This window comes from Homo sapiens, chromosome 16 (assembly GCF_000001405.40).
Source record: "Homo sapiens chromosome 16, GRCh38.p14 Primary Assembly".
NCBI classification, from domain to species: Eukaryota; Metazoa; Chordata; class Mammalia; order Primates; family Hominidae; genus Homo; species Homo sapiens.
The window spans coordinates 76,762,374-76,774,083 of NC_000016.10; the positions used below are offsets into that span (position 1 = coordinate 76,762,374).

Genomic DNA, 11,710 nt, shown 5'->3' on the forward strand with positions numbered 1-11,710 from the left:
CTGCAGAACCATGAGCCTAATAAACCGTTTTTTCTTTATAAATTACCCAGTCTCGGATATCTCTTTATAGCAACACAAAATGGACTACAACCAAAATTTGGTACTGAAGGGTGGGGCATTGCTATTATCTCAAATGTGGAAGCAGTTTTGAAATTGGGTAACGGAAGAGGTTGAAAGAGTTTGGAGGGCTCAGAAGACAGGAAGATGTAGGAAAGTTCAGAACTTCTTAAAGATTGTTAAGTGGTTGTGATACAAATGCTGATAGAAATATGGACATTGAAGGCCAGGCTGAGGAGGTCTGATATGAAAATGGGAAATTTATTAGAAACTGGAACAAAGGTCACCCTTATTATGCTTTAGCAAACAACTAGGTTGCATTGTGTCCATGTCCTAGGGCTTTGTGGAAGGCTGAACTTAAGAACAACAACCTAGGGTATCTGGCAGAAGAAATTTCTAAGTATAAAAAAAGGTGGTATGACTGCTTCTAATAGCCTACAATGAGATACAGGAGCAAAGGAATGACATAGTTGGAATTTATAATTAAAAGGAAAGCAGAGCATACAAATTTGGAAAATTTGCAATCTATCCATGTAGTAGAGAAGTAAAAAACATCTTCAGGAGAGGAATTCAAGAGGCCTGTGGAGAAACCACTTGCTAGAGACATTTGTAAGACTAAAAGGGAGCCAGGTGCCATCCAAGACAATGGGAAAAAGGCCCATTATTATTTCAGAAATATTCAAGGTAGCCCCACCCACCACAGTCCCAGAGGCCTAAGAGAAAAAAACAGTTTTATAGGCTAGGCCTGGGGCACCACTTCCTTGCTCAGCCTTGGGACAGTGCTCCCCACATCCCTGCCACTCCAGCTTCATCTAGGACTCAAAGAGCCTCAGATACAGCATGGTCCACCACTCCAGAGAGTGCAAGCCATAAACCTTAGTGGTTTCCACAAAGTGTTAAGCCTGTAGGCACACAGAATGCAGGAGTGAAGGAAGTTTGATGGCTGCCACCTAGATTTCAGAAGATGTACGGGAAAGCCTGGGTGCCCATGCAGAACCCTACTCTACCCTATTAGGGCAATGCTGACCGGAAATGTGGGGTTGAAGATCCCACAGAGTCCCCATCAGGGCACTGCCTAGTGAGCTGTGGGAACGGGGCTACCATGTTCTAGATCCTGGAATGATAGATTTACCAGTAGCTTGCATACTGAGCCTGGAAAAGCTGCAGGCACTCAACTCCAACTCCTGAGAACAAGCATTGCATCCTGCAAGGCCAAAGGGGCAGAGCTTCCCAAATAGAGTAGAAGCTTCCTGAGACCTTCATTAGAAGTAAATGCCAGCACTATGCTTCCTATACAGTCTACAGAACCATGAGCAAAATAAACCTCTTTTCTTTACAAATTATCCAGCCTCAGGTATTCCCTTACAGCAGTGCAAAATGGAATGACAGAGAAAACTTTCTCAATTTGATTAACAGAATCCATTAATAAAAGACACCCTACAGCTAACGTCATACTTAATCATGACAAAAATCAATGCTTTTTTTTCCTGTGAATGAGAACAAGTATATCCTCTCTCTCCACTCTTATTCAATATTGTACTAGAAATTCCAGCTAGTTCAATAATACAAGAAAAGGAAATAAAATCTATACAGATTGGGAAGAAAAAAATAAAATTTTCTTTTTTTCACAAAATATTGTCTTTCTTTTGTTTGTTTGTTTTTGACATGGTGTTTCACTGTTGTCGCCCAGACTAGAGTGCAATGGCACGATCTTGGCTCACTGTAACCTCCATCTCCTGAGTAGCTGGGATTACAGGTGCCCATCACCACATCTGGCTAATTTTTTTATTTTTAGTAGAGATGGGGTTTCAACATGTTCACCAGGCTGGTCTCAAACTCCTGACCTCAGGTGATCCACCTGCCTCAGCCTCCCAAAATGCTGGGATTACAGACATCGAGCCACCGCACTTGGCTAGATTATCAATGTTACACATAAACTAGAAAACTCCTAGAACTAATAAGCAGTTATAGCAAGGTAGCAGGATAAAATGATAATATATAATATTAATTGTTTTCTTATTGATATGTTTTAGATGTATGTCCCCTCCAAATCTTATGTGGAAATGTGATGTCCAATGTTTGAGATTGGCCCAAGAGGGAGGTATTGAATCATGGAAGTGGTTCCCTCATTAATGGCTTGGTGAAATCCCCACAGTAATGAGTCAATTTTCACTCTGGTAGTTCACGAGAGATCTGGTTCTTTAAAAAGAATGTGGCATCTCCCCTCTCTTTCTTGTTCCCTTTCTTACTATGTGACATGCCTGCTCCTGCTTTATCGTCTGCTGTGAGTAAAAGCTTCCTGAGGCTTCACCAGAAGCCAAGCAGATACTGGCACCATGCTTCCTACACAGCCTGCTGATCCATGACACAATTATACCTCTTTTATTCATAAATTACCCAGACTCAGGTACTTCTTTGTCACAATGCAAATACAAAAAAAAGACTAATGCACATATAGACTAGAAATAAACACTTGGAACTTAAAATTAGAAAAAAGAATACAACCTCCAATAGCACTAAAAAATAAAATCGTTAGTCATAAATATTACAAAATATGTACAGGATCTCTATACAAATCACAAAACTCTGATGAAATAAATTATAGCAAATAAAAATAAATGGATAGTCTATGTTCATGGATTAGAAGGTTTAGGATTTGTCAGAAGCCAATTGTTCTCTACTAGATTCAGAGACTCAATGCAATGCCAATCAAAATCCTGGCAAGATATTTTGTAGACATAAACAAACTCTTTCTAAAGTTTATACAGAAAGGCAAAAGATCATGAATAGCCAACAAAATACTGAAGACAAACAAACTTGGATTACTCCTAATACTTGACTTTGAGATGTACATAAAACCACAGTAATCAAGGCAATGTCATAGTGACAATGAAGAGACACACAGACCAGTGGAAGAGAACAGAAGCCAGAAAAGACCCCCACACATATAACCAATTACTCATTAACAAAAGACCAAAGGAGATTGTGTGGAGAAAGGATAGTCTTTCAACAGATACTGCTGAAGCAAGTGGTTGTGTATATCCTAAAATAAATTGAACTTAGACTTAGACTTTACACTTTTCACAAAAACTAACTCAAAATGGATCATGGGCCTAAATGGAGAATGCAAAACTATGAAAACCCTAAAAGAAAACATAGAAAATCTAGGTGACCTTGTGTTTGGTGATGAGTTTCAGATGTAATACCAAAAGAAAAAAAAAAACCCGTGAAGGAAAATATTGGTAAGTTATATGTTGTTAAAACTAAAAATTTCTACTCTGCAAAAGAGCATTGTTTAAAAAATTAAAGAAAAGCTATAGACTGAGAGAACACATTTTGAAAATGCATGTGTAATAAAGGCTTGTATCCAAAATATCCAAATAAGCTAAAAAATAAAACTCAAAAATAAGGAAATAAACAACCCAGTTAATAAATGGGCAAAAGATCTGAACAGACACCTCACCAAATAGATACCCAGATGGCAAATAAACATATGAAAATATTCTCAATATCATTTGCCCTCGGGGAATTGCAAATTAAAACAAAATGTTCTAATATCACACACATATTAAAATGGCTAAAGTCCAAAAAGAACCAAAAAAACCCACAAAAACACCCTGACAATACCAATTTTTGGCAAGAAGGAGGAACAGGCACTCTCATTCATTGCTAGTGGGAATACAAAGTACACAGTCATTTTGGGAGACAAATTGGGCAGCTTCTTACAAAGCTAAACATAGTCTTACCATATGATCCAGCGATCACACTCATAGGTATTTACAAAACAGATTTAAGAACTTAGGCCCACACAAAACCTGCACACAACTGTTTGTAGCAGCTTTGTTCATAACCTCCCCAAATTGAAAGCAACAAGCTGTTCTTCACTGAGTGAGTAGGCAAACTGTGGTATATCCATATAATAGAAAGTTATTCAGCAATAAAAAAGAGCTGTATGAAGTCATGAAAAATATGGATGAATTTCAAATGTATATTACTCAGTGAAGGAAGGCAGTCTGAAAAGGCTACATACTGTATGGCTCAGGTTGAGTAGGTAAAGCACAGAAAAATTTAATGTGGTGACACTTTTCTGTATAATACTGTAATTTTTAATTAATGACACTATGCATTTATCAAAACCTATTCAGCCTTACACTACAAAATGTGAGCTTTAATATATATAAATAATTTAGGACATCAGGAGAATCCTAAGATTGAATTCAAATGTAACAAAACAACCTAAATCTGTTACAAATGTTATGATAGGACAATCTCACCCAAAGGGAGTGTGGGAAAATATTGCTGATGTAAGCAACCTTGGATATGAAAGAAGTCTATAAAATTAAATGCAAAAGAAACTCTGCATAAGAATTTTACTCTAGTTAATAAAGTTGTTTCCCATGAGGACACAGGTTAAGAATTCTGATACTGACATCCATGTATACTGGAATTGAACAATTAAGTAAATAGATGGCAAATAGTGAAATTCAGGTTTCTCATTATTGGAATGGGAGTTTATAGAAAAGCAAGAAGAAGCCAGAAAGTCCCATGTGGTAATGGGTTAGCATTGGATACATTGGTGTGAACTCAGGCTTAGCTTTATATAGATATGATGGTTACATATAGAAATGTGTGTAGATATGTGTATATACATGAATTAGTGTACACTCATCTATTTCCTTATCCTGTCAGCTCAGAGCATCCAGAAGAAACATTCAGTAGCCACAAGCACACAGATATTGGTTTCTAATATCATTCTTCCTTAAAGAAACCAAGGCTCCTTGGAGAAATGCCTGATTCTAGCCTTGGGGTAAACAAATTTATAAGACAGGCTTGTAACATCTTGTAGTGCCAGAAAGTAATAAAGTGCTCAAACACACACACACACACACACACACACACACAGAGAGAGAGAGAGTTGGGGGTATGTCAGATGAATGTAGAAACCAACTACCCTGAAAGAGCTCGTAATCGCCAAAGCTGGAACAATTTGAGCAACACAAAAAATGAAGTAATATTGTAGAATAACCCAGAATATAAAATAAATATCCATGATACCATACTAATATAAATACATGATTGAATAAATAAACAGATGAGAAGAGACAAAAATTCTGTGCAGAAGAATTACAAATAATGTATGTAGATATGCCATGCCACAGGAGGTGGAGAATAGCTCAAGAACTTAAATGTGTGGTCTGTGCATAATGGCTTCCTACAAAGTACGGTATGGAAAGGAGACAGGGGAAGAGTCACTTTAAGTGATGAAAGCTGTCAAACACTTTCTTAGGCAGATGATCCCCATCAACCTCAACAGCGATAATCATATTGATAGGATGCACCCTTGATATGAGGTAATGACAATGGCATCTTCTCTATGGTTTTCCTCTCCAAAACATATAACCCCTGTCTAATCATAGGAAAAACGCTAGATAAAACCCAATTGAGGAACATTCTATAAAATACTTGACGAGTACCCCTAAAAACTGTTGTCAATGTCATAAAAAAAAAAAGGAAACTTCGAGAAACCATCACAGCCAAGAGTAGCCTAAGCAGGCAGTTTCCTGGAACAGAAAAAGGACATTAGGTAATAACTAAGGGAATATTAAAAAGTATGGATTTTACTTAATAAAAATGTATCAATACTGGTTCACTGGCTGTAAAAAATGTACCATACTAATATGTTGTGTTAATATTCAGGGAAACTGAGTATAGGCTATATAGAGACCCTCTGTACTATCTTCAGTTTTCATGTATATCAAAAATCGTCCTGAAAATATATTTTTTAAAAAATTGATATATGATGAATATGATTAACCAAAGAGTAAAAACTGAAGAACCCTGTGACATTTTAGGCTTTGGATTGATCAGCCTTGAATACATTAATCAGCAGATAAATGAATCTGTCATGAATGAGTTACACATGAAAACACTATTGAAGGTTTCTTTCCAAATTTGAATTGTTTAAAAGTTTATCCAAAGGACATTTACAATTCTCTTCTTAAGAGTATAATCAATTCCACCCATTTATTTTTCAGTTTTTATAATGAGTGATATTCAAGTGTCCATTAGGTTGGTGCAAAAGTAATTGCGGTTTTTGCCATTAGAAACCTTTAATTGCATTTTTTTAAATTGCGAAAACTGCTATTACTTTTGTACCAACACGATACTATAGGCATAGATACTTACTGGGCAAGAGTGAAATGCAACAGTGGTGGACTCCTCATTCCCAAGAAGTATGTGTTCTGAGAAAAGGAGGAGACAAATATTTCCAGGAGTTGGGTGAGGGCCAGACTCACGCTCCTGTCCCATAGCTCAGGGGTGTGTGCCTAGGAACGGACTGAGATCTGGCAATTCAGAAAATGCTGCAAAGTAAAATTGTATTTCTAAGTGGGCACCACAATTCACAGCAGGAATAATTACAACAATACTTTACTCTTATGAGCTATTTCAACTAACTGTGGTGAGAAGACTTTATGCTGGACATTAAACAGAGACAGGATGGCTGTTTCCAAGAAGCCAGGTTGGTGAAAGCTCATTAATTATGGAGAGGCAGGATTCCATTTGTATCAATATGTTTAACTACTCTGAAAGTTGTAAGAAACATGGTGACTTTCAAAGCGCTGCATATTTTAACTGTCCATGCACTTGGAAAGGGGCTCACTGCCAGTTCGACACAGCAGGCGGGCGGGTCATGTGCATCACAGAGCCTGCTTTGCTGTCACTCGCGCTCTGAGGGCTGTGCCTCCCTAGGCTGGGCCATCCCTCTCATCCGAAGGCCCTGCTCTCTCCAGAGGCCTGATTTCACTGCTCAAAGCAGTTTCCCTGGTGTTCAGAGTGATGTGGGACTGGGTAAAGAGACCGGAGTCTGGGAAGAGGGTGCAGCCCAAGAGAGTGAACAGGTGTCAGCTGGGTGGAGTCTGGATCTCTGGTTCAGAGGATAGCTCTGGAAAGGTGTGGAGGTTGGAGGTTGACTGACTATGCCCTGAGAGTTGTTTTTCTTTTTTTTTTCTTCCTGACTTCTTCACCAGGAAGGAGGCTCTGCAACCAGGTGGCATCCACTGCCCTGTGGACTCTCTCACCAGTTTATGCCTTGAAGCTTCCTCACTGAACCCCAGTGAGAATCCACACACTTCAGAAACTGCACTTTTAACTCTTTATACTCTCCTTCCCTTTTCCATCCCCTGCATATGGTAAACAATACACTCCTTTAGGGTTGCCTGGGTCCTGGACCCAGGTTTCTCCCCTCTGCCTTTCCTATTGGTAACAGAGATGACCATGTCTGATAACAGGTCTTTGAATCTTGTGAACTCCACAGGGTTGCTGGAGTAGGGACACCAGGTGTATTGCCCAGCATGGAGGCATGGCTTGAAAAGGGGATGGAGCAGCACGAAAAGACCCAGCTTCCCCAGCCAGCAACCTCTGCACCCTTCATTGATGCTGCCTGGTGCTCAAAGGACCTCTGGGTGGATCCCAGGGCCTGGGACAGGCTCCAAACCACTTATCACGCCAATTCCTTGAACCAGAGACGTGTCGTGGATGGGCCTTTCAATGCCAGGAGCAGGGGAGAAAATTCTAGGACTGGCACATCTTACTGTATGTCCAACTATTATTAGGTTGGTTCAAAAGTAACTGCATTTTATTGCCATTACTCTTAATGGTAAAAACTGCAATTACTTTTGCACCAACCTGTAGAACACATTCCTAGCAGGTGGAGGTATGACCACAGACTTCATCAGTCCACAGGTCCAGGAGCCAGTTGGAATGTTCTACAATTCTTGCTTATTTGCCTCCTTCTATCTAAGAGAGACAAAAAAAACAGCCCCTGTTCTCCCAAGAGAGCAGGGGCTGCTCTGGTGCGAGAAAAAGGCTGTTTCTGCCTCTCTCTTGATACAGGATATCACTCTGTTGCCCAGGCTATAGTGCAGTTGCACAATTATAGTTGACGGCCGCTTCTACCTCTTGGGTTCAAGCAATTCTCTCACCTCAGCCTCCCTAGTAGCTGGGACCACAGGCACATGCTAATACACCTGGCTAATTCTTAAAATTTGTTTTCTAGAGATAGAGTCTCTTCCCACCTCAGCCTCCCACAAGTGCTGGGATTACAGGTGTGAGCCACCACACCTGGTTGCAGGGCTCTGTTATGTAGGGCGCTAAGGAATAATTATTCTGACATTTGTTAAAATGGTGAGAAAGACTTTACTTAAGGTCATTGCAAAAGAGGTATTGCAATAGGGAAGAGAGATTATGTTCAACTCCAAATACAATAAGAAGAAGTGGAGATTTATAGCCAACGAGAAGTGGAAGGGAGTCAGTGGATTACTAAGAAGAAACAGCAAGAATAGGGGGATTCTTGCTAAGACAGTCCAAGGAGCTACATATCAAAGCTGAGAGATGAGGGACTTGGTTAGATGTCAGCAATGATCAAATATCAACATTGATCAAGGGGAGGGCAGATTATTGCTTAACTGACTTAATAGGGTTCTTGCTAAGTCTAGGCCCTGTAAGTCCGGCAAGAACAAAACAGACACTGAAGACCAAGGTCAAGGGCTTCTCGAAAAGGGTGCACAGAGAAATATAACCAATGTTTGGTCAAGTAGAGAGTTTTTTTCAAGGGTCACGGTTGACCTTGACCTTATGCCATGAAGTTGGTCCCATTGCCCACTGCATACTTCATTGTCCTTTCAACTATCTTTTACCTTCAAGGATGGTCAAGCTGTGCAAGCTTTGGGACTGGAGGGGAACATGACAATAGCAGGCGTGGGCAGGAGAGGGAGGTGTCTTGCAAAGCACTAAAAGTGACAGCAGACAAGAAGTGAGTGACAAGGCACACAGCTCATGGAGCAGCCCCATCTTTCCCTGTCAACCCCCTTCCTCTTCCCCCAACCTCCAGTCATCTCCTGGCAGGTGACTGAGTTCCTCCCTGCTTCTTGGCTGCCAATCCCCTAGCACTGGCTTCTACTCAAATCCCTTCTGTTCTAAAATCTGGGCTGCTAGTAACCACACGGTCTCATTTTAATTTTGATGACTCCATTTTATCATGTAAACCACTCTTCTGTTAACCACCTCCTCTGTAATCTAAATGTCAGCTGATTCATTCCTGCCAGAAAAACTGGCTTAAAATACAAAACCCTATGTTTTCATATGTTCAAAATGCTTTCCAAAATATGTGCTACTTCCTGAGTAGCAGTAAGTGTCTTGGCCAGCCTCTCCAGTCATCCTTTATAGGTTCAGATCATCTCTTGGGCCCGGGTGTACTGGTTTCTGGTCCGCATGGTATCAACTCAGAAAAATTCCTCAACTTCTACATAATCACTGAAACACAACAAAGCCTTACTTACAGCAGTTATGTATTCAGTCATCCACTTGAAGAATTAGGATTTCGGAGAGACAATGGGGTGCATATAGGAACAACAAATGTCACATCAAATTGAACATCAGGCGCCTACATTCCATTTGTTTTTGTTCTTTTGGGTTTTTAAACTTTTTTTTAAAAAATTTATGGGTACATAGTAGGTGTATATATTTATGGGGTACGTGAGATGTTTTGATACAGGCATACATGCGTAATAATCACATCATGGAGAATAGGGTATCCGTCCCTTCAAACATTTATCCTTTGTGTTACACACAATTCAATTATGCTCTTAGTTATTTTAAAATGTACAATTCTTATTGACTGTAGTCACCTCATTGTGCTATCAAATCATAGGTCTTATTCATTCTTTCTAACTAGTTTTTTGTACCCATTAACCATCTCCACCTCCCCCGAAACCCTCCACTACGCTTCCCAGGTTCTGGCAACCATCCTTCTCCTCTCTATGTCCCTAAGTTTAATAGTTTTGATTTTTAGATCCCACAGGTGAGAACATGCATGTTTGTCTTTCTGAGACACTTACATTCTTAAAATACTCTTCAATGACTATCATGAGGGATTTTTTCCTGTTTCACCCCTATTTAGTTCCTCAGCCTTTAAGAACTAAAGTCATCTGGGTGGCTACTACCAATTCATGTGTCTTCCCTTACTTCCTCTCACCTCTGAATTGCCCCTTATGATTTCAAATTATTCATTGGCTTAAGGGCTGTCATTTTGTGTTCCCAAATACCGCAGCCAAACTGTGTTACAAACTGGTGTAGACATGCCCAGAACTTTTATGATCACTTTGTGAAAGAAAGCAGGGCTCCCTGCCTTTAAAAAGATTGGCCACTGTAAATAGCCACTCTCTCTATCCATTTCACTTTCAGACACTGCATTAGGGTGGAATACCTTTCAGGGCCTAAGACAAGAAGAAACAATAGGAAGGTTTGGAGACAACAGGTGCAGTTGCAGGACTGGAGAGCAGAGTGGTCTTGATGGGGTTTGGATCCTTTTGCTCTCACCACAAAGATGGCACAGTCTTTATGTCTTTGAAGACTCCTTAAAATTATTTTATGTCTGACTCCCCTGATGAAAGTTGGATGCTTCTATTGTCACCACAAAGATATTAAAGGCTTTATAAGTCTTTATAGACTCCTTGAAGTTCTTTTATGTCTAACTCCTTTTAAAATTTTAGATACATACTTGTTGAGGATCTTTTACTCAGGCAGCTGAAGGTAAAATTTAAGTCTTCACACAGAGAGGAAATATTATGTGCGAAAGAGCATTTAATATGCATCAAGTAAAATCTTACCTTTCTGGCATGGTCACGCACACACACACACACACATGCATACTTGGTACATAATGTTTTATTTACTCCCTACATCATCCCAAAGTTGTCCCCCTTTTCCAGCTGAGTAAATCTCAATACCACATCTCAATCCTACCTTCCTAAAATTATGTTCCAATCACAATTCACTTTTATTTTGTCTTTTCCCAGCTCTACTTCAGATATATGTGTCAGACAAAGAACAGTGATCATTAGTCAAGAAAATTGAAAACAAAGAGATAATATGGCAATAAAAGAGTTTAAGCCATAAAATAAGCTAATTACAGATTTTATTGTTTTAAAAAGAGCTCACCATTGCATTTAAATAACTTAATATTGGCCGGAAGAGGTGGGTCACACCTGTAATCCCAGCACTTTGGGAGGCCAAGGTGGGCAGATCACCTGAGTTTGGGAGTTCAAGACTAGCCCAATCAACATGGAGAAACCCTGTGTCTACTAAAAATTAAAAATAGCCGGGTGTGGTTGCACATGCCTGTAATCCCAGCTACTGGGGAGGCTGAGGCAGGAGAATTGCTTGAAGCTGGGAGGTGGAGGTTGCCGTGAGCCGAGATCGTACCATTGCACTCCGGACTGGGCAACAAGAGTGAAACTCCATCTCAAAAAAAAAAAAAAAAAATTGTGGATCAAGCACTGTATACGTGAGGAAACTAATTCAAAATAAGTAGAATAGAAAGAGAACTATGTGCTATGGAACAAATGTACAAGTTGCATGCAAAGGTAAAAACGAAGCCTTGGTTTGGACATTAATTACTGGGGGAGCCCCACTCAACTAGATAGGAGGCCACAATGCCAGGATGACCATGTGGCTTTTGGGGTATATAGATTCTGGGGTGGCTTGCACTGATTCCTAACAATTCATCCGAACTATTGAGCTGATTATATCTGTTTCTTGCCATCTAAAAAAAATAAAATCTATCCAATAACAATCAGTTCTCCATTTCTGTACT

At 39.8% G+C, this 11,710-nt stretch overlaps 1 long non-coding RNA gene across 1 annotated transcript; it reads left to right on the forward strand.

The window, feature by feature from the left end:
• Positions 1 to 8,165: 8,165 nt before the first annotated feature.
• LOC105376774 (uncharacterized) lies at positions 8,166 to 10,558 on the forward strand. The gene is made up of 2 exons (XR_933751.2): positions 8,166 to 8,869; positions 10,300 to 10,558. It is a non-coding gene; the product is annotated as an uncharacterized LOC105376774 (long non-coding RNA).
• Positions 10,559 to 11,710: the final 1,152 nt, after the last annotated feature.